Source organism: Homo sapiens, chromosome 3 (assembly GCF_000001405.40).
Source record: "Homo sapiens chromosome 3, GRCh38.p14 Primary Assembly".
Taxonomy (NCBI): domain Eukaryota; kingdom Metazoa; phylum Chordata; class Mammalia; order Primates; family Hominidae; genus Homo; species Homo sapiens.
The window spans coordinates 182782364-182805420 of NC_000003.12; the positions used below are offsets into that span (position 1 = coordinate 182782364).

At 40.1% G+C, this 23057-nt stretch overlaps 1 protein-coding gene and 1 long non-coding RNA gene across 5 annotated transcripts in view, besides 4 other annotated features; one reads left to right on the plus strand and one right to left on the minus strand.

The window, feature by feature from the left end:
* Positions 1-235: 235 nt before the first annotated feature.
* ATP11B-DT (ATP11B divergent transcript) lies at positions 236-11001 on the minus strand. Its single transcript, NR_187316.1, has 3 exons — positions 10717-11001; positions 5787-6063; positions 236-2502 (listed from the first exon to the last, which is right to left on the minus strand). It is a non-coding gene; the product is annotated as an ATP11B divergent transcript (long non-coding RNA).
* Positions 10976-11725: a silencer, noted in NCBI's record as "silent region_14932". NCBI's record gives its function as "represses an Ori minimal core promoter by ATAC-STARR-seq in GM12878 lymphoblastoid cells {active_cell/tissue: GM12878}" and the evidence as "EXISTENCE:reporter gene assay evidence [ECO:0000049][PMID:35858748]".
* ATP11B (ATPase phospholipid transporting 11B (putative)) overlaps positions 11141-23057 on the plus strand; it is a 128126-nt gene continuing 116209 nt past the window's right edge. For all 4 annotated transcript variants that reach the window (XM_047447784.1, NM_014616.3, XM_011512593.3 and 1 more), the window contains exon 1: positions 11141-11423. In XM_047447784.1, coding sequence (XP_047303740.1) covers positions 11397-11423 — 27 coding nt within the window. In that variant the 5' untranslated portion in view covers positions 11141-11396. The remainder of the gene's footprint in view (positions 11424-23057) is intronic.
* Positions 16509-17009: an enhancer, noted in NCBI's record as "H3K4me1 hESC enhancer chr3:182516660-182517160 (GRCh37/hg19 assembly coordinates)". NCBI's record gives its function as "activates a minimal SCP1, AML or CMV promoter by ChIP-STARR-seq in naive H9 embryonic stem cells {active_cell/tissue: H9 hESC(naive)}" and the evidence as "EXISTENCE:reporter gene assay evidence [ECO:0000049][PMID:30033119]".
* Positions 17010-17510: an enhancer, noted in NCBI's record as "H3K4me1 hESC enhancer chr3:182517161-182517661 (GRCh37/hg19 assembly coordinates)". NCBI's record gives its function as "activates a minimal SCP1, AML or CMV promoter by ChIP-STARR-seq in naive H9 embryonic stem cells {active_cell/tissue: H9 hESC(naive)}" and the evidence as "EXISTENCE:reporter gene assay evidence [ECO:0000049][PMID:30033119]".
* Positions 20058-20352: a silencer, noted in NCBI's record as "tiled region #857; HepG2 Repressive non-DNase unmatched - State 23:Low". NCBI's record gives its function as "represses a minimal TATA promoter and a strong SV40 promoter by Sharpr-MPRA in HepG2 cells {active_cell/tissue: HepG2}" and the evidence as "EXISTENCE:reporter gene assay evidence [ECO:0000049][PMID:27701403]".

The window sequence follows — 23057 nt, forward strand, 5'->3', positions numbered from 1 at the left end:
CCAGTGAACATTTAGTGGTCTAGTGGTTTGGAAAATGTGGTTGAGATGAAGTGAAACTCTATTGAATTTACCTTCAACTGAAATTAATATTTTCTTCTTAGGAGCTTTATTTCAGGCATGATAGTAAAGGTCAACAGATGATTTTTTTAAATTCATAAGGTAATAATCCTCACCATCATTATGAGGGAAGTATGTCTGAGGGAATCAACCACCGAAAGCAGCACAGAGCCAGAAGTGAGGGTCTCACTTTTTTATTCAAAGATATTTTTCCACATTTGAATGGTAAACTCAAAGCTAATTTGCATTACTGATTAATCAATATTGTACCACAAGTTCTTTTATAGCCTCAAAAGGATTTTTTCCACTCAAGTAAGCCTGAGAGAACAAAGGTTGCTATTCATATAAACTCTGTTTGAACAGATTTTTTTAAAAACATTGTGCTTACAGTAATGAGATTGCACACCAGTATTAAACATACAGTGTGCATATATAATTTTCTGGCTTCTGTTGATCCATCAGCTCAGTCTATCTGAATGATGAAATAAAGACAATTGCTTGCAGAGGAGGGAAACTGAAACCAATTGGGGATAAAGATAATAAAGATAGGTAAGAGCAAGATATTGAAGATCTACTGTCATCCACAGAGATAATATTCTGTTGGAGAGAGAACTATAAAGAAGTAACAGACTTTGAGACTCCCCTCACTGTATATTCACAAAAGATGTCTTTCATTCCACAAGCATTTTCTTTGAATACCATATAGAGGCCTCATTTATTAATAACTAAATTTGTTATGAACCAAACTTCTGTGTTAGTTACAAGAATGTACACTGTTTAATAGTGTGATTAGAGTCACATTTAAACTGCAGTTTTTTTTCATTTTTTTATTTTTCATTTTTTGTAGAGACGGGGTCTTGCTATGTTGCCCAGGCTGGTCCCAAACTCCTGGTCTCAAGCCATCCTCCCACCTCAGCCTTCCAGTGTGCTGGGATTACAGGTATAAGCCACACTATGCCTAGCCAAAACTGCAGCTTTCAATAAGTAGCCAAATCTAACAAGTATACTTTCATTCTCAGTCTAACATTTAATCAACAGAAAATTGAGTCAGGTGAGGAAAAAGGAGTTAAAGAACAGGCTGTACTGTATATGCTTACCTCTGATATAGAGGACAGTCTCAATCATTATTATTAAATGAAATATTCATATACAAATTAATACCACTGCATCTGAGTTATGTTAAAATAGATGCTCAATAACAGCAAATGCCTCACTTTGAAGAATGCACGTACTTCCTGTCATTTTCCCAGGTTGGATTCAGTGGTCCATCTCCCTGGGCTCTAACCCAAGGGTCAGGGAGATGCTAGGAACTGGGATAGTGGGAAAGGGCAGAGGGGGCAAGAGGAGGAAGGAAATCCAGGAAGATGAGACTTTTGGATGTCAACTGGAGACAAATTCAAACATCTTTGGGGATTAGAATCGGAGCGCTCATTTTAGGGAAGCTGGTGGGGACAATACCAATGCTACAAACCAAGTATTTTATCAGAGTTTTAACAGCAACTTGATTAAAGACAACAGATGGAGCTAAAAATAAAAATGGTGGATGCAACCTAAAAACTGGCATCTCTCTCAACAGACTATTGAATTCATTCACACAGGAGAAAAGTTGAATTCTCTTGTCTGACATATCAAAGCCCAATAAAGCAAAAACAAAATGTCATTCAGAATTCTAACGCAACCTTGTGGAATTCTCACACTCAACGAAGTTACCATTAATTATTAATACTTAGTGGAACTAAAATTAGAATTCACATGTATTATTATATTACTCAAGGTTAAGTGATATTTACATCTTTTTGTACAGGTACATACATAAAAACAACATACATGAAATGATACAGAGGAAGACATGTACATATGTTTGTAAGTTTGAAAAACTGTTTACCTTTCCTATTATGATTGAAGGCTTTTTTCCCTCCTTTTTCCACAGTGATGGGGGAAAGTCAGAGTGATGCATCTGACAGTACAGTGATCTCCTCTCCTTTACAATGATGATACTGATCCACCATCATATGACTGAATTGACTTTCTGGTCGTGCTATTGATTCCACTGAGTTACGTGCTCCCTGTTTTTGCCTTTTGGGGCTGGAAATGCAAGCCATGGTAAGGGGGCAGAGATTTTCCTCTCTGTAAAGCAAACGACCACTTCTAGGGGTTGAGCTACAATGTTTTACCTCTTAATAACTGTGGATAAAAATCAAGCAAGCTAAGTAACAAAGCCACATCCCCTCCCCCATCTTCCCCTCTCTGCACAAGCATACAGATACATAAATGCATGCACACACACACATTGACAACATCACTCCTGCTTTGTATAGATGAGATGCAATCTTCTGCAGACAGGCTGCTTCTTCATGCAAGGTCACTGGGTGTGTATATGCTGATTAGCAAGAAGTATTGCTCCATCCAATAAAGTTATTATGTCTCTGTTGAATGATTAAGGACCTGGTCAGTGAACAAGAAAGTCTTAAATGGGAGCTGACAAAACCAACAATTTCTAAACTTTATCTTTTACTCCATGTGTCTGTAATTTCCAACACAGGTATGGTCGGTACCTTTCTGAATACTCTCACCTACAATATTTTTATTATACTCAAGATGGTAGACATAAAATTGTGTTGCTGTTAATAACCTAATTCTGAAGCAGTGTCCCAGGTCTTAAACTATGAACTCCTTGAAGGCAAGGCCTATGGGACTCTTCGCCCAGGCACCTAGGACAATGGCTAGTGTTTGCTACGTGCTTAGCAAACATTTGTGGAATAACTGAATGGTGGCAGAAAAGGTGATGGTGGAGAGAGAGGTCCAGAGGTTAGTATCTGAACACCAGAATAGGAAAGTGCTTAGTATGATTTTATGAATGGGCCACATAAAACTGTCAGCAATTGATTGTAATGACACATTCATGTTGTATTTCACTAGGAATTATCTACAGGAAACCAATTTACCTCACCAGAATAGCAACACTGAATAGTCTGCGAAGTCTCTGACTGAATCAGTATCGTATAGGAAAACACCTCTTACTTCATTTGGTCTTTTCAACTAGTAAGTCATCTTCTTTTACCCTTTTTTACTCATAAAAGTCCATTTTATCATTGATGTCTAGAAAATTCCCTGATTTCTTCACTGATCACTTAAAATCTAGTTTGGTTTTTTGGTTTTTTGTTTTTTGGTTTTTTTTTTTTTTGAGATGCAGTCTCACTCTGTCACTCAGGCTGGAATGCAGTAGTAAGATCTTGGCTCACTGCAACCTCTGCCTCCCGGGTTCAAGCGATTCTCCTGCCTCAGCCTCCTGAGTAGCTGGGATTACAGGCACCCGCCACCATGTCCGGCTAATTTTTGTATTTTTAGTAGAGACAGGGTTTCACCATGTTGGCCAGGCTGGTCTTGAACTCCTGACCTCAAGTGATCTGCCTGCTGTGGCCTCCCAAAGTGCTGAGCCACCACACCTAGCCATAAAATTTCCTTATTCTTTATAGAACAGCTGGTCACACAAACAAACACTTGAGCTCTTGATGAATTCCACAAACTGAGTCCTTGCCCTCCAGAACAGTCTCATGGGGAAGACAGACATTAAAGAGGTTACAGCAAACAATTATATGATGACCAGTGTGCAAAGTACTTGGAGAGATACTGGATACTGTGGGAATGCTAATCTCTTGAACAACTAGCCACTTTCTTCCTGCCTCCCATACAGCAGTCTCTTTGAATCAGTATTTCCCAGTTCTCCACTTCCAACCCATGCTACTTCTTGCAACCTGAAAGAACGGCGCTTGTTTTCTCTTGGATTCAGCATATTTCCCTCTCTCTTACATTTTTTCCCCTCTTTCCACACCCTGGCTTACCTGGCTTCAGCCTTTACTCATCATTTTGTTTCTTTCCTGTCAATCTCCTACTCATACAAATTACATGTACAGTCATTGTAAAATAGTGAAAATATACATGTAATTATGGTGGAGGTAAGGAAATTGAATAATCTTCAGATTAGATTATTTGAAGCTCATTACCTCATTTTAAAATTAGTCTTTGTGGCATAATCATGAATAATTATGTCTTACATTTTCCTTTATTTCTTCTATTCAAAAAATATTGAAGGTGGCTTAAAAATATATATACAGTATAATAAGATATAAAGGAAGTGAAGTAACCAACCAAAAAGAAATTAAGAATAGACAAAATAAGAAGTTGGGGTAAAAGTAATTCACAAAATGTACACCATAGGGTCTGGGCACTGGCTAAAAGTAAGCCTCTGAATTTTTGAACAACCACCACAACAACAAAAGGAAGCACATTCAATTATATAATTCAAAATGCCCACAAGATTATAAAACTAGTTGCTCAAGAAAAGCAGTTGGCCAGGAGCAGTGACTCACGCCTGTCATCCTAGCACTTTGGGAGGACAAGGTGGGTAGATTGCTTGAGCTCAGGAGTTCGAGACTAGCCTGGGCAATATGGTGAAATCCCATTTCTACAAAAAATACAAAAATTAGCTGGGTGTGGTGGCTCATGCCTGTAGTCCCAGCTACTTGGGGGGCTGAGGCAGGAGAATAGCTTGAACCCGGGAGGTGGAGGTTGCAGTGAGACAAGATTGCATCACTGCACTCCAGTGAAACCCTGTCTCCAAAAAAAAAAAAAGAAAAAAAACCAGTTATTTGTGGTACTAAATTTCTGCAGGCTCTTGTTAAGAGAACACAATGTGATAAGTTAGCACGTTCTCAGATGCATCTCCACAGTAAAAACAGTCAGTCAGGGGTTTCTGAGGCTGCGTCTCCTACCATCCCTAGACTTAGGGTATTTGTGTGATCCTAAACAGCAGTTTGGTAAAAGTAATCATAGGAGGAATCAAAAGAAGACTATCCAAAAAAAAAAAAAAGACTTCTCACAATTTTTTTTAATCTAAAGATAAAAATTAGAACACCCAAATACAGTGCAGATTTCAGGAAATCTTCCCTAAGTGTTACTTCTTGCGACTCAGCATTTCTGAAAATATCCAAAAAGCAGAGTCGTGTCAACGATTTAGAGCATATTCATTTGCATTAGCAGTCATGGGAACTAGGAATGGGGTTAACGCTGTGTTATAAAAATTAAGGAAACAGAGGAAATATTTGTGGGGTAAGCCAAGATTTTCCTTAGACAGCAATTTTGGATCTATTCCAATAGAAATATGAGGGCAATGTGACTCCAAAGGTTTTTGCCGTTGAACACAACTTGGGAATGCTTTAGCCCAGAAAATCTATGAAGCAGCTGTTAGCAAATACCTACCTAATACAGTCATTTTAATCAGAAAAAAAACCTCATAAAATATCTAACCTCAAAAAATGAAACTTGTGACATCTATAAGATAAACTATTGTAAAACTAACGCCTCCTAGACGGTAAGCAATTTGATCTACGGTGCAGCACAGATAGCCCAAAAGTTGGTTAAGCGCCGCAGACTGTCTCAACGATAACAGTTTTAACAATTTTAGTTCTGCTGCAGCTGATCTGAGGCCACCAATATTTCTGTCAGTAATTCAATCAGAAGCCACTTGGCTATTTAACTTCCTTCCCTCCTTAACCCAAAAACGTATACAACAAAGTTCATTCATTTTTTCCCCATTCTGTCTTTCATAAGAGAGGTGACAGAATCCCACGTCCAGTTCATCCAAAGATAGTATCAAGTTATTGAAAGGCAACTTAAAATAAGGAAGAAGGAAGGTACAGAACATATTTATGTTTTGTGTACTTTCTCACCTTTCAAAAAAGTGATCATTTTTGTGAGTTCTAATTCTCACATTGGCTTTGAGTATCAGTTCTGTGTAAGCATAAGTAGCCAAAAAATAAAGATGAATTCATGTAATTGCCCACAATAGATATATTTGAGGAATTTTCAAGAAAAGATGCAAATATGCAATGAGATGTTGTTTCTGATGAAATTCTTCACAAGGTGATAAAATATATAATCCTATTCAGTAGAGAAAAGTTTGCTTGAAGTCTGTTCTTTCTTTGCCTAAAGTCTGGTCTGGAAATCCTGAAATGATAATCAGAAGGAAAATGCTTTTTAAATGGAATAATTTGTAACCTAGTACTAGATTGATGATTTTGAGGAAGTGAAAAGTTGTCCTTTTTTTTTTTTTTTTTGAGACGGAGTCTCACTTTGTCACCCAGTCTAGAATGCAGCTGTGTGATCTTGGCTCACTGCAAGCTCTGCCTCCCGGGTTCACACCATTCTCCTGCCTCAGCCTCCTGAGTAGCTGGGACTACAGGTGCCTGCCACCAGGCCCGGCTAATTTTTTTTATATTTTTAGTAAAGACGGGGTTTCACCATGTTAGCCAGGATGGTCTCGATCTCCTGACCTCGTGATCCACCTGCCTCAGCCTCCCAAAGTGCTGGGATTACAGGCGTGAGCCACTGCACCCAGCCAAAAGTTGTCCTTTTAAAAAATGAGATAGAGCAGATTCTGATGCCCATCTGATAGCTCCATCACTATAGAAATATTTAGGGCAACAGATTGGCGAGGCTGTGTCCTTCAAGCAGACTGACCCTTGAAGAGTTCTGAAAGGCACACAACAGGAAGTGCCCTGGATCTAAATGATGGTGACCACCGGTCTCACTGCATAGTTTGGGATCTACTAAAGTTATTCAGTGTGCTTGGCTCTATATCACTTTGATGTTTTTCTCCATATACTCGGTCGTTGGCTTTCTTAGTTCATTTTACATTTACTGAGTACTCCTTAGACGCTGTGGGTACCAGAATGAATGAGCCACAAATGTCGACCTTAACAAGATCATAGTCTGTGCTTCCTATTGATGGTCCAAGATGTTCTCATCAAGAAAAACAGCCCTCTTTGTTTTGTCTGTGTTATAGCTGAGAATACTGTACTGAACTAGGAGATGTTTTTCTCTTGGGAATGATCATGTCTCACAGTATAACTAGCACAGAATTACATTAACAAGTTTACTCAACAATAAGAACCATATTTACCATTTATTCAGTGGTTGTTATGAGATGCTGGTAAACTTACTCTCTCGGAGTTTCTGTTACTTCACTTGGTACAGCTTAACTTTCCAGTTTCCCTGCATCACAGCACAGCTTCCTGTAACAGTTTGTTACTTCTGGTTCTTTGCCAGTCCAGCACTTTTCAACTTAATGTTTCACTCTTGCAATAACTTCCTATCTGACCTTTCTTCTCTCTCCAACCTATCACATATAGTGTCAATGGACTAGTACTCTGATTTCATCCTGCCATTAACCTGATCAGAAAATTCCAGAGATTGCCCATTTCCTGTAAACTCTTATGACTAGACAGAAACTCACCCCACACTATGCCTCCCCTTACTTACCCAATCTCACCTCTTATTACACCAAGTTAGTTGTACCTCAAACATCTTGAGCTTTCTTGACTCTGTATTTGCTCCTGCATTTCTTCCTGTTGGAAAGTCTTTCCCTCCTACCTTCATCCTCCCACTTCAAGTTCAGCTTAAATTCAGCTCCTTTCTTCTGAAGCCTTCCCCAACTGCTATTGCTCACATCAATTTTCTGAAATGAGTGTCTACTGTCAGTATAGTTCTTCAGGACTTAATCCCATACTGACTTGGATTGTTATTTAACTGATTCCCCTCTGCAACTTCTTTTTCTAACTAGATTTTAAACTACCCAGGGAAAAGAGGCTCACCTTAAAAGTTGCCTTTGCGTCTCCTCCTAGTTTTAGGCAGTTGTTATGCATACATTTGATGCTCAACACATGTAAGAAATAAGTGTGGATTGAATGAATTACCACTGGCTCCAAGCATTTTTTTCCCTTTCCTTTATAGCTGGTGCCTGCCTTCTTAAGTCCTTAAGTTCTGTATTTAGCCATCTCAATGTTTTTCAAACCTTTCTAACCATAACCAATAGGAGGAAATTGCTTTTATATTGTGACCTGATGTACATGTGTATGAAAAATTCACAAAACAATACGTGTAAGTACTTACTCTGTGTCATGTATTCTGCTGTTTTCTATTCTATTTTTTAAAATACAGATCATGACACACTAAACTGATTTCACCACCAGGTGGTTATACTTACAGTATTGTTGGGGCTCAGAAATCAACATCCCAAGTATAGTGTTTTGACATGCTGAACTGAAGAAGCCGCAAAATCTCTCTGGCCTCCCCTCTTTGCTCCACCATCTCTCCCAAAGCACAAGATGAAGTTGAAGTTCCTTTATCTGCCCAAGATCTAGACCCATCAAAAGGAATAATTGTTTTTCCTTCCCTTCCTGTAAGACCAAGAATGTAATCACACCTAATAGACCCTTTGACAAAATAACATACAAGTTAATTAATCTCTGTTCCCTGATCCATTCATCTTCCCTAGTAACTTCCTCAACAGAATTCCTCTTCTCCCCACTCCCATAACCTGTTTTGCCAGGATGGTATATTAGCTTGTCAACCACTTAGGGGGTTGGCAATCACTCTATGATTCTCCCCATGTGCACACTGTGTGCACATTAAGTTTATATGCCTTTTCTCTAATCTGCCTTTTTCAAGTTGATTTTTCTTCAAATCTTCAGAGGGCCAAGGGGAGAGCTTTCCCTTGACCCCTGCAGTATAAAAACGCTCTCCTATCTTATGCTCCTTGTAAGAACATGAGGTGTATAGTACTGCTCTTAAAAAAATGCTTAAAATGGCCGGGCACGGTGGCTAACGCCTGTAATCCCAGCACTGTGGGAGGCCGTGGCAGGTGGATCACGAGGCCAAGAGATCAAGACCATCCTGGACAACATGCTGAAACCCCATCTCTACTAAAAATACAAAAATTAGCTGGGCATGGTGGCGCACCTGCAGTCCCAGCTACTCGGCTACTCGGGAGGCTGAGGCAGAAGAATCGCTTGAACCCAGGAGACGAAGGGTGCAGTGAGCCGAGATCAGGCCACTCCACTCCAGCCTGCCGACAGAGTGAGACTCCGTCTCCAAAAAAAAAAAAAAAAAAAAAAAAAAAAGGCTTAAAACACTACCTGGGCTGCTCATTCTGTTCCTGACAGTTTGAGCTTCAATTTGATCTTTACATAGTTACCCTGAGATTACTTCTTACCATATTCCACCAGAGCACTAGGAATCAAGCCCTTCCTTCTCCCAACTTCTTCCTTTTGAAATTTGGGGCACAATTAAATAATGATACACAAAGTATTCTCCAGATCGCTATTTCTTATGTTATCTTGAAAAATTTTAGCGGCATATAAATAAAAATTTCCAGGCCTAATTTGTAATCAAACCATTTGCAGATGAATAAAAGTAGGCATGGCCATATTTTTATTTTTGGACGTAGCTTAAGAACATGAGCACTATTGCCTGACAATCCAGAATCTGAATCCTAGCTTTGCCAAATTAGTGTGAGCCTCCATTTCTGCATCTATACAAAACGGGAATAATACCTACTTCAAGGGATTGATTGGAGTTAAATTACAGCATACAAGTAAAGAACTTGATACAGGACCTGGGTGCTCCATGAATGGACACAGTGCTCCATGAATGGCAGTAAGGTTTTGTCACTAAATATATCTCAAAACTTCCTTTTAGGGTCATAAAGTAAGGTTTAGCCACAAGAATAAAAGTAAGATGACTTTTCAAATATCTAGCTATTTTTTGAAGTTGGATGATTTATAATATAAAATTCCATGTTGGTTTTACAGATCATAAATATCCCCAAAGAAAGATTCTATTTGTGGTGCTGGATAAGCATTATATAGTAAGAAATGTCTACTGAAACTAGAAGATTGAGGATGCATATTCAACGACCTGCCTAGTCATGCTAATCTCATTTAGATTTGTTCTTGCTTAATTTTTTTTTTTTTTTTTTTTTTTTGAGACGGAGTCTCCTTCTGCCGCCCAGGCTGGAGTGCAGTGGCGCCATCTCGGCTCACTGCAAGCTCTGCCTCCCGGGTTCACGTCATTCTCCTGCCTCAGCCTCCCGAGTAGCTGGGACTACAGGCGACCGCCACCACGCTCGGCTAATGTTTTGTATTTTTTAGTAGAGATGGGGTTTCGCCATGTTAGCCAGGAAGGTCTCGATCTCCTGACCTCGTGATCCACCCGCCTCGGCCTCCCAAAGTGCTGGGATTACATGGGATTACAGGCGTGAGCCACCGCGCCCGGCCGCTTAATTTTTTTTTTTTTAACCACAAACGTCTGTCGGTGAAGTGTGCTTTAATTCAGCAAAAATACAGCATTCAATACATATACATAACACAATATGTATACGGGGCTGCTTTTAAACAACGCCAAACCTTTAAGTCAAAGCCTTGTTCCAGTTGCTTGTATATTCCTTCTGAGCTTGTCATCCACACACTTTTTTAACCTAGGTCAAGTTACTGCTACGGGTGTTTTTGATTGCAGAAGTTTGGCAGTTAGCAGTAAAGAACTACCTTTTTATACAAATTATCTTCCCCTGAACCTGTCCAATTTAGCACACGGCAAGACAGAATATCTCATCCATTCGCCTAGAAACACGGGTCCAGGCTGTACCAGGCTCAGGGGACTTGCAACGCTTTCGAATCACTTAATGGGTGTGATCAAGATTTCCCTAGCCCCGTCTCAGCCATTTGCTAAAGAAGAGGCCTGACTTGTGTTGAGACGAAAGCTCTTACAGCTTGATGGAACCCAAACTGGGACTTCTGGGGGGATTAACTTTCAGTCACATACGTTCAGGACTGTGCGTATGCGTGTCGGGAGACGCGTGAACCAAAGAAGCCACAGAGCCCGAAAAAGACCTGCAACAGGAGGTAGAGACCGAGGAATCGGCCCCAAGCTGCAGACTCCGGAGATGGCCAGACCCACAGACACGACTTAATCCCACTCCCAGAACGGGGAGGAGGGTGGCAGTGGACAGAAACAGCGTTCGAGAACCCGGCACCTTTCCACGCTCGCTTCTTCCCGGACCCACAACACAGAAACCCCCCAACTCGGAACGGCGGCGGGGCGCGCCAGGCCCCCCTCGGTCCGCGCACCCCCTTTCGTCACGTCCGGGGGCGGGCCGGGGCGCCGGGGGCGGTCCCGGGTGGAGCCGGGGGGCCGGGCGGGGCGGGGCGGGGGTGGGGTTGCGGGGGTGCTTTGGGTGACAACGGTCAATAATGAAGGTGGCTGCGGCGCGGCGGCAGGCTCAGCTGCGCCGGGCGGGGGCGGCGCCGGGGCCGCGCCTGTAGGACTCGGGGCCGACGCCGCGGGATGGGGACGCGGCGCGGGGAGTGAGGCAGTGGCGGCGGCGGCGGTAAGCGGAACTTCGGCCCGAGGGGCTCGCCCGCTCCCGCCTCTGTCTTGTCGGCCTCCACCTGCAGCCCCGCGGCCCCCGCGCCCCGCGGGACCCGGACGGCGACGACGGGGGAATGTGGCGCTGGATCCGGCAGCAGCTGGTAGGTGCCCCCGCCCCTCCACCTCCATTCGTCCGCCCCCGCGGGGCCTCTCGGCCCGGGGTGGCGGGGAAAGGCCGGCGGCGCGGAGCCGGGAGGCCAGGGCGTGGGCGCCCGGCTAGGCCGCAGCGGAGACGGGCGCGGGGCCCAGAGCCGGAGAAGCCCCGTGCGGCTCCCGGGCTCGTCTCGCCTCCAAGCCCGGGCCGCCGAGGCTGGCGCCGAGCGGCCGGAGGCGGCCGCTTCTAGCCGGCGCTTCTCCGTTACTTCTTCCCCCTTGCCGCTCCGGGGCTGCTGTGGCCAGAGGCGGGAGTCCCGAGCGGGGTGGCGGTGCCCCCAGAGGAAACAGGGCGAGGGAGCTGAGCGAGAGTAGGTCTTGGGGAGATGAGAGAGGCGTGCTCTTCCTGCCTCGAACAATTTGGGACGTGTTTGGGTGAAGGGGAAGCGAAGAACCTGTCTTCTGCCCCCACTCGTCACGGACTTCTGGAAGCGTGTCACGATCCAGAGCTGTGTTGATTCCCGAGGAGGAGGCTGTCGTAGGTGTCTAGCCCCCTCAGCGAGAGACGTTTCTCCCCAGGACCTGGAAAGGGGAAAGACTGTGCCAGCTGCCGGTCTAGCTTCGGAAACGATACGTATTGTACGATAGTTACGAACGATACGTACTGTCGTTTCCTTCCTACCTCGTCCTCACCCCACCCCGAGTGAAACTTTTCGAGTGTGAACCTTACTTTTTTCCCGTTCTCCTCAAGGCAGTTTGAACGACACAGGTTTGGAAGGAATAGTTAACTCTCCAGTATTATTGGAACATCTGGACACCACCAACAAAAAATCTTAGAAAAGGGTCATTTAAGGCCTATAAAAAGTGCCACCTTTCCCAGAATTAATTCAGAGAGAAAAATCTTATCTGCCTCCTGGCAGCTACAGCGCAGAAAGTACAGCATTAAGGCAGCTGTGACAATTAGGACAGAAATTGCCCCTGGCTGAAGAAGCCTAACCTTATCTGTGTGATGAGGCCGGTTACTATTTAATTTCTAAATCGCATTAACTTAATGCTTCTACAAGTTGGCGTTTTCATTTACTAATTCTAAAGGCAGTGGTAAAATTTAGTGAAACAGGAACTATTTTTGTGGGACGAAAGCACTGATAACTCTTTTTCCCTTCTGCTCTAGAAAAGCATTTTAACGTTAAGACCAAGAAGTGTGGTGTTTCAGAGCCAGCCTTCTGTTACTTCGTTTTGCAGCGGGCATCATTCTCAAAAAAAAAAAAAAATTATAAATAAGAACTGCCTACCACTCCCTCCTACAAATGTTGGGTCTCTGTTTTTAGCATTGTAAATTCAGATATCCCAGATATATGCTTTATTAGGAAACCAAGCTAATGATGTCATTATAATACCATCTTGTAATACTTTGGCTTTGTTGCAGTAAGCTGTAGCACAGTAATTTTACTCAGAAAGTTAATTATTACAGATTTGATCTTATGCTTTTGATTTGCCAAATCTTCTTGTATAGAGGGCTGATTTACCTGATGGTGTTTTTGTGTGGTAGGAAGATCATTTTAAAGTGGTTCTCTTGAAGCTTTTTTAAAAATGTATTGAGACATCCTTTCTCACTGTTAGGTATTTTTTAGCCAGAATAAAATCCTGGTTGTATAACCATGCTCATCTTCAAGACAGAAAACCTGGTAATGTTTTTTAAAATGGCTTCAAATGAACCCAGCTAAAAGGAAGGGCCGGAAGTTGTGTGTGGTTATTTTACAAGGCAGCCGTCTTAACAGGGATGGTTAACGAGTTGAACAAGTTCCTGTGCATAAAAAATGCTATCTCTGACATTTAGTTGCTCACCTCACTGGTTTTAAGTTATCAGATCCTCTAAGTATGTAATCATACTTGGGCCAATGTAGGACTTTGTGTCTCTGGTTAAGTTTGTATGATCACATAAATTAAACATCAAGGACCCTGGATACAGAGTAATGAAAGTATATTTTGCTATCCCAGTCATAGACAGCTATTCTGATTACTGCACCAGAAATTATTCAACTCAGGTAAAAGCTAGTTTAGATTATACTTCCAGTGGCTTAATGGATTGAATCACCACGACTTTCAGCAATGGGTTTATTTTAAAATGCAGATAACTAGGACAAATTTGGGGAAATTGACAAGCAAATCCTAAGGACAGGTTGGAGTTATAAGCATATTTAATTCGTTATATGAATCCCGATTTTCAACTAATGTCTCACAAAAAAGTCCTTTTATTACAGAAACAATGCCTATGTTCTAGTAATTTCTTTTTAATTAAAAAAAAGTGTGACTCCTTATGACAAAATATTTTCACTACTTGAGAAGATGGAAAAATCAGAAAGTTGACAGAAGCTTGATCTTTTCTATTGGGAAAGTAGGCTGAAAATAAAAAGATTGGAATATCCTTTTTTGTTTTTCTTTTTGGCACACAATGTTAAAGTTACTTGACACTAAGAAAATTCTCTTATGGTGTCTTTGTGGTACAGTTAGTATTATTCAAAGTATACTCATTTTCAGTACCATATTTTATGTATTAACTCATTAGAGATGACAATACCTTGATTATAATTATGGAAATGCCATTAGCTACTCACTGTATTCTAATATTTAGACCTGTACGGTAGCCATTAGCCACAAGTGGCCATTAAAATTAAAATTGGAGCCATATGTGGGTATTAAAATTAAAATTTGAATTCATGTGTCTATTGGCTGCCATTGGCTGCCATATTGGACAGTTCATATTTTCATTATCACAGAAAATTCTATTGGACAGCACCAATTTAGACTTTTAAATGAAAGTCTGTGTCAGTACATATTTGAATGTAATACTACATTTTTAAAGCACTTGCTGTGTGCTGGTATTAACAGATGCTGAATACCAGGGATACAAATGTTGGTCAGGGTCACACATACTCTACATAAGTAGACATTGGATACATGTTGCTGAACAAATAATTAATAGATGAGGAAAGAAAGAATGAATCTGTAGTGTTGTTTCTGTGTTTAGAGACAAAAATGACCAAATTTAAGATTGACTAGCCCAGAAAAAAGTTAGAAAATGAGTAATTACACAAAAACAGTATTACTAGGATAACTGTTTCTTAAACTGTTCCATAAATGTAATCCCTTTAGATTGTATTGGCGATGGTGGTAGGAGGCTGCTAAGATTGTCTTCTGATTAACTGAGAAAAATGAGAAGGTCTTAATCTGAACTCCCTCAACTTTCTGTTCTTCCTCACACTCACCGAACTTGCTTATATTTTATACTGGTACTTAATTCTTCCCTTCACAGTCACAAGGAAGATGCAACCCTCTTTTCCAAGATAACAATTCCACTTAAGCTTTTGATCCTTTTCTTTCATTCTGCTGTCCATACTCCATCAGTTATCATTAGTATGTTTCTTTTCTTTCTCTTTACTTTTTCTCTTAACTTGTGAACATGTTCAAGCCTCTCTGCTACTTTTTCCTGTACCTGTAACTGGCAAATTCTTTTTAATTTTCTGAAAAACAGATCTATAAAACTGTGCTGGCTGATGTATTTGGAATGTGGCTAGTTTGAGTAGAGTTATTCTTACGTATAAAATACACATTGGATTTCAAAAACAGTATTAAAAAATGTAAAACCTGGCCGGGCAAGGTGGCTCATTCCTGTAATCCCAGTACTTTGGGAGGCCGAGACAGGCAGATCACCTGAGGTCAGGAGTTCGAGACCAGCCTGGCCAACATGGTGAAACCTCATCTCTACTAAAAATCCGAAAATTTGCCTGGCGTGGTGATGGGCACCTGTAATCCCAGCTACTCAGGAGGCTGAAGCAGCAGAATCACTTGAACGTGGGAGGCAAAGGTTGCAGTAAGCCAAGATCATGCCACTGGACTCTAGCCTGGGTGACAGAGGGAGACTCTGTCTCAAAAAAGAAAAAAGAAAAAAGAAAAAAGAACTCTCATTTTTTTGTTAGTTACATGTTGAGATATTATAATATTTTACATATATAGGTAAAGTAAAATAAATTTTTGGAATTTTGTTTCTTTTTACTTTTTTTAAAGTGGTTAGAAATTTTAAAGTTACCTACGTGACTTGCATCTGTTGCTCATGTTCTATTTCTATTAGTGCTGCTGTATAACATTAAAAGTGAATTCCTGTATCCTGGTAAGAATAGTGAGATCCTGTCTCTAGGAAAGAAAAAAAAATTAGCTGGGCATTGTGGTACTGACTTGTAGTCTCAGCTGCTTGGAAGGTTAGGGTGGGAAGGTCACTTGACCCAAGTAGTTTGAGGCTGCAGTGAGCCATGATCATGCCACCACACTCTAGCCTGGGTGACAGAGTGAGACCGTCTGAAAAGAATAGTGAGCTCCTGTTTTTACAGAACACATTGTGGAAGTCTAGATATCTCACTTACTAGACTAGACTGTAAATATCTTAGGATAAGAACCATATCTTACTTGTATTTATATTCCTTACACTCAAGACAGCAGTTGGCCCATTGTAGGTATTCACCTGCCAAATGTTGGTTGAATAAATGAATGAGTATCAGATCTAATTCAGCATCAGTTTGAAAATACCTGCATTCTCTGCCTCTTTTCCAAGGAATGAATGAAGGAATAGAAAAAGGAAGCACTGGCCTAGGGTGGTATTTTTTTTGTGGATAAGTTTTAACCTCAAGAATTAATGTTTAAGAACCTAGATCTGTGAGTATGTGCTGCTTTATCTCTATTTTCAGACATATATTCTTAGATACGCAGTTTTGCATTTGGTTAGGAAGAGGATAAAGCATTAGAGGAAACTCAGGTATTCCCAGCAACACTGAAGTAGGGACCTTGCTCCAGATCCTCTAAAGAGCCTTATGATTACCATTATTGTCATTAAATGTTTTCTAGACCTGTGCTATTCAACATGGTATCCACATATGGCTGTCGAAATGTAGGCACTTGAAGTGTGTCTACTCTGAATTGAGATGTGTGTGAATGAAATATGCAGTGGATCTTGAAGACTTAGTTTGGAAAAAGGATGTAAAATATCTCATTCATTTTCTAATTGATTACATGTTGAAATTATATTGGGTTATATAAATATACATGTATTTGGTTAAATATTAAATGCTACTTGTTTATTTTTACCTTTTTTTAAATGTGGAAACTAAGAAAATTAACATATGTGGCTTAGGCCATATTTCTGTTCTACAGCATTGTTTTAGATTATGGTAACAATATATAATGCCTGGCATAGGCAGATTCAAGAAAGTTTTTGATTCTAAGGACTTTATGACTTTACCCAGGCTTTTTTTCTGTGAGTTTTCTATTTTCAGAGTGTTGGTCTGCATTATATCTAAGAGACTAGAAGCTGCCTGATAGACTAACTGCATCTGGTCCCTTGGAAATAATTTATCAAGTCAACATCGACTGCTGTGGGGTTCTAGATTTAGCCATGCTGTTTATTCTTCATTTTGTTTCTGCAGTTGTCTGAGTGCTGATCTTTCTTTCTTTCTTTTTTTTTTTTTTTTGGAGACAGTTTCGCTCTTTCGCCCAGGCGGAGTGCAGTTGCGCGATCTCAGCTCACTGCAAGTTCGCCTCCTGGGTTCCCACCATTCTCCTGCCTCAGCCTCCGGAGTAGCTGGGACTACAGGCGCCCACCACCACGCCCAGCTAATTTTTTGTATTTTTAGTAGAGATGGGGTTTCTCCGTGTTACCAGGATGGTCTCGATCTCCTGACCTCATGATCCGCCCGCCTCGGCCTCCGGAAGTGCTGGGATTACAGGCGTCAGCCACCATGCCCGGCCCGAGTGCTGATCATTCTAAGCAAGATAATATTCATAATTAGCTTAGTTTTTACTAGAAATGTGCATTTTTATTGTTTAATTTTAATTTTTTTATTCTCAAAAGGAAGTAAACGTGTATTTTTTAAAAAATATCAAAATGAAACTCAAGATTTGAGTTTATAAACATAGTTGAAAGATTTTATTCTCAGATATTCTTTATTTTGCTTTTTTTCCTGGAGTTTCTCTGTTATAAAATTTAGTATAAGAAAAACATTCTAGGCCAGGTGTGGTGGCTCAAACCTGTAACCTCGGCACTTTGGGAGACACACAGGAGGATTGCTTTGGGCCAGGAGTTTAAGGCCAGATTGGGCAACATAGTGAGACCCTGTGTCTACAAAAATTAAAAATTAGCTGGGCATGGCGGTGCCTGCCTTTAGTCCCAGCTACTTGGGAGACTGAGGCAGGAGTATTGCTTGAACACAGGAGTTCAAGGCGGCAGTGAGCTATGATTGTGCCAGTACATTCCAGCCTGGATGACAGAGTAAGACCCTGTCTCTAAAAAATAAAAATTAAAAAAAAGAAAGAAACAAAAACATTCTTGATTGGATATTTATATGGGAAATACTATGAGACTTATTTTTAAGCCAATACTTCAAGTTAGAAATTATATATATAATTTTTTTTTTGAGATAAGGCCTCACTTTGTCTCCCAGGCTGTACTGCAGTGATGTGATCACAGCTCACTGCAACCCCAAACTCCTGGGCTCAAATGATCCTCCTGCCTCAGCCTCCTGAGTAGCTAAGACTTCAGGCATTTGCCACCACACCCAGCTAATTAAAAAAAAAAAAAAATTGTAGAGGTGGGGGTCTCACTATGTTTCCCAGGCTGGTCTCAGACTCCTGGACTCAAGCGATCCTCCTGTCTCAGCCTCCCAAAGTGCTGAGATTACAGGTGTGAGCCACTGTGCCCAGACGATGTTTGTATTTAATTTTTTTGCATATATGGTTATAATGCATTCAGTAAACATTCACCTGTATTGTGAATGACATGCATTGAATTTCTGTTACTTCTCAGCACTTGGGAATGGCTCTGAGGGAACTGTTTGACTCTTGGGTGTGCTTAGGAGAAAACTAGAACACAAATTTTTTTGCTGACTGGCTCACTTAAAATTGTACAATTTTTAATTTTCGTATTTTCTTATCCTATACATGGTATTGGCAAATTCTTTTGATTTTTTTTTTTTTTTAAGACAGTCTCGCTTTGTCACCCAGGCTAGAGTGCAGTGGCGCGATCTCCGCTCACTGCAACCTCCGCCCCCCACCCCCCCCAGCCCCGCCCAGATTCAGGTGATTCTCCTGCCTCAGCCTCCTGAGTAGCTGGGATTACAGGCACGTCCCACCATGCCCAACGGATTTTTTCGTATTGTTAGTAGAGACAGGGTTTCGCCATGTTGGCCAGGCCAGTCTCGAACCCTGGACCTCAGATGATCAATCCACTTCGGCCTCCCAGAGTGCTGGGATTACAGGTGTGACCCATCCCACCAGGCCTTCCTTTGAAATTTTTAGCATGTAGTTTATCCTCCTTAACATTAAGTTATGGCTTATGCAGATAATCATACTTGTTTCTCTTTAAAACTATTAGATTGTCCAAAATTTAGATGAAATACCAAATTAAGGATATTAATTAGTTAAGCTGTGTCTGTCTCCACATTTTAATTGGAAGTGAAGTTCCCCCTCAGGAAAGGAGGAAGAATAGGATGATATGCATAGGTATCAATCATTCATTCATTCACGTACATTTTGGAAAAGTTAGGAACAGAAACAGATGTTGTATATATGTAGCTTATTCTTACTGTGTGAAGCCGGTAAAGCTGGTACAGGTTATTTTTATTCTTTCTTTAAGCATTATGTTATAGAAAATTTCAATCACCTGCAAAAGTAGAGATAATGGTATAATGAGCCCCTTTATGGTATAAAGTTGGGCAAATGGTATAATTTATCCTTTACCCAACTTTTACAGTTATCGGCACATGACCAATCTTGTTTTATCTATTCCCCCCACCCACTATCCTCACTCCCTTTAGTGATTTTGAAGCAAATCCCAGACATTATATAATTTTACCCATAAATATTTCTGTATTTATCTCCAAAATCGCTTCTTCCTTTCCTTCCATTCTCAAATTCTTATTTTTACAAGTGTAGAAATTTTATTTTATGTCAGTTACATCAGTGATTATTAATATAAGTTAATGTAAAACTCTCCCCTTAACTCTTGATTTAATTCAGTTATATTAATAATAAAAGGTACATGCATAATATGTATTGCTAATAAATTTACTAAGAATCTGTCAAATTCTAAGCAGGAGATGTAGTTCTTTAAAAGTCAACTGCTCTTTTTCTATGGATACCTCTGTGGGGAGAAGAAATCAAAGAAAGACACATGAATCAAAAAATGCTTTGCTTCAAAACATCATGTTGTGCACCATAAATATACAGAATTTTTGTCAATTTTTTAAAAAATGCATTTTAAAAAGTGTTTTACTTATAACATGAATACATCTAAGTGTTTGGGGAGCAAATCGTATCTCCCTTTTTGTTGTTGCTAAAAATGATATATCCAGAACCATTTCTCTCGTCTTTCTCTGCCACCACCCTCAACTAAACTACTGCTACCTCTTACCTAGATTATTGCAAAAGCTTCCTAGTTCATCTCATTGTTTCTCCCCTTCTGTCCTTGCAGTCTGTTTTCAATATACCCACCAGAGTGATCTTATTAAACAGGTTAGATCATATAATTCCTCTGCCTAAGATTTTCCAAGTGCTTGCTCTTTTGTTCAGAGTAAAAGCCAAAGTCTCTGCTTGATCTGTATGCCAACCCCTACACTTCTTCCAATCCATTTCTCATCCTCCATCACTATTCTCTCACTCTTTATTCACACTAGCCTTATTGCAATTCAGAAGTCCCAGGCATACTTCAGTTTTAGGAGCTTTGTCCTGACTGTTACTACCTCTACCTGGAATGTTCTTCCTGCAGACATCTGCTGGCTCCTTCGCTCCTTTCAAGTCTTTATTCAAATATTGCGTTATTCATGAGTGAAGCTTTTTCCAGCCATTCAGTATAATGTTCTGACCCTCCCCATTACTTCCCTGTTGCCTTTCCTTGCTTGATTTCTCAGCACTTAATGCTATTTAACCTACTCCAAAACTTGCTAGTCTCATTTATCTCAGGAAGGAAGGGATTTTGTCTGCTTTAGTTTTGTTCTCCATTTAACAAAAGCCATTTCTCAACTCTGCATCCCCTTTTAGGTGACACCATTTCTTTCTCATGTATTGATGAATTGAGTCATTTTCTGTAAGTGAATTAGTTTTCTGTGATAGCATATTTGTTGCTAGGCTTTGGAACTACCAAAATGAAGTAATCCCTGCCCCAGCCAATCTTATGGGGGGTTCTTTTTTTCTAATGTATATTCGGATTGTTGCCAATTTTTTCCTGTTACAAAAAGTGTTACAATGACTATTATTGTTTATTTATTTATTTATTTTGAAGTTAAATACCCAGAAGTGGAATTGCTGGGTCATGGGTCACGTACATTATGACTGTTACTAAATATTGCCAAAGTATTTTCTAAAACAGAGTTCTCCTTTCCCTACATCTTGCTCAACACTTTGTACTGTCAGACTTGAAAAAACGTACCAGTCTGATGGGTGTGAAATAGTGTCTCATTTTGTTCTAATTTGCATTTTCTTGATTGCTGGTGAGATGCAGGTATCCTCAATTTCATTCACATGAATAGATTGCCCGTTTTCCATTGGGTAGTTTGGCCTTTCCTAATTCTTGCTATAGCCTGGATGCCAATTCTTTGTTGTATATGTTGTAAATATCTTCTAGTCTGTTCCGTGTATTTAATTTAGTTTATGGTATCTTTTTTTATACAGAAAGTTTAAATTTATTTGTAGGTAAATTTATTAGACATATGATTTCTGCTTTTTATTACATATTTGACAATTCCTTTGTTATACTAGGATCATAAAGCTGTTTTTCCAGCGTTTTCTTCAAATTGTTTTAAAATTAGTTTTTTAACATTTAGATCTTTAAAGATACCTGGAATCAATTTTTGTATATGGAATAAGGAAGGGAATTTGTTTTCTCCCGTATAGAAAGTTGTGTCAATGCTGTTTATTGAATGAGGCATCCTTCCTCCACGAGTCTGTGTTGTTTGCCTTCTCTGTCATAAGTGACACATTTAGGACACGTACCAGCATTCTCTTTCACATACTCTGTCATATACCAGCATTCTCTTTCATATACCTTGGTCTCATTCTAGATTCTGTATTCCATTTCATTCATTTCTTGGTGCACAAATAATGCTCTGTCTTAATTATAGTATTTTAATGATAAGTCTTGGTATTTGGCAGGCAGAACCCCCACCTTCTTTTTTTTTCTTTTTACAATTATACTGAACTTTATTCTTCCATATGCCACTTACAGTGTTTGTCTAGCTCCATGGAAAATAGTTCTAGATTTTGATTAGCTTTGCATTGAAGTTAAGTTTCTTCATATTTTTTCCCTTTGATGATTATAAGCTATGGATTGTATTTTCATTTTTATTTATTTTTCTAGTTATGCCTATAGTCATTGAGCATCTCTATACATAATCTACAAATAACATAGGAATTTAGATTTCTTTTTTTTTTCTTTTTTTTTCTTTTGAGACAGAGTCTCCCTCTGACCCCCAGGCTGAAGTGCAGTGGCGTGATCTTGGCTCACTGCAAGCTCTGCCTCCAGGGTTCAGGCCATTCTCCTACCTCAGCCTCCCGAGTAGCTGGGACTACAGGCACCCGCCACGACGCCCGGCTAATTTTTTGTGTTTTTAGCAGAGACGGGGTTTCACCATGGTCTTGATCTCCTGGCCTCGTGATCCGCTCGCCTTGGCCTCCCAAAGTGCTGGGATTACAGGTGTGAGCGACCGCACCTGGCAGGAATTTAGATTTCTTAACTCCAGTGTTCTTTCTCATCTTCTGCGTTACAGTTGCATAGTAGTCTGTTTTTTCTCTTTGACCAGCTTTATTGAGATACAACTCACATAACATACAATTTACCCTTATAAAGTATATGATTCAGTTTTTTTCTAGTGTATTCACAGGTTAGTGTAACCATCACCACACTCTAATTTTAGGATATTTTTTCTTCCCAAAAGAAACTCGATACTCATTAACTGTCATTCCCCATTTTCCCAAACCTCAAGCCCCCAGCCTAAATCAACCACTTTCTGTTTCTAGATTTGCCTACTCTGAACATTTTATATAAATGTCATCGTACCATATATGTGGTATTTTGTAACAGTGTTCTTTCACCTAGCATAATGTTTTCAAGGTTCTTCTATGTTGTAGCATGTATCACTACTTCATTTCTTTTTATTGCCAAATAATACTCAATTTTATGGATATACCACATTTTTTAATTCATCCATCAATTGATGGACATTTGGGTTGTTTCTGCCTTCTGGGTATTAGAAATAACACGGCTTTGACCATTCATCTGTAAGTTGTTATGTAGATGTGTATTTTCATTTGGGCTTATACCTAAAGAGTAGACTTTTATTGGGTCATATAGTAACTCTGTTTTTAACTTTGTGAGGAATTGCCAAAGTGTTTTCCAAACTATCTGGACCATTTTACATTCCCACTAGCAATGTATGAGGGTTCCAATGTCTTCATATCCTTGCCAACACTTACTTTTGTCTGTCTTTTTGATTATAGTCATCCTAGTGGGTATGAATAGTATCTTACTGCGATTTTGGTTTGTGCTTCCCTAATGACTAATGATATCCAATTTTTTTTATGTACCTGTTGGCCATTTGTGTATC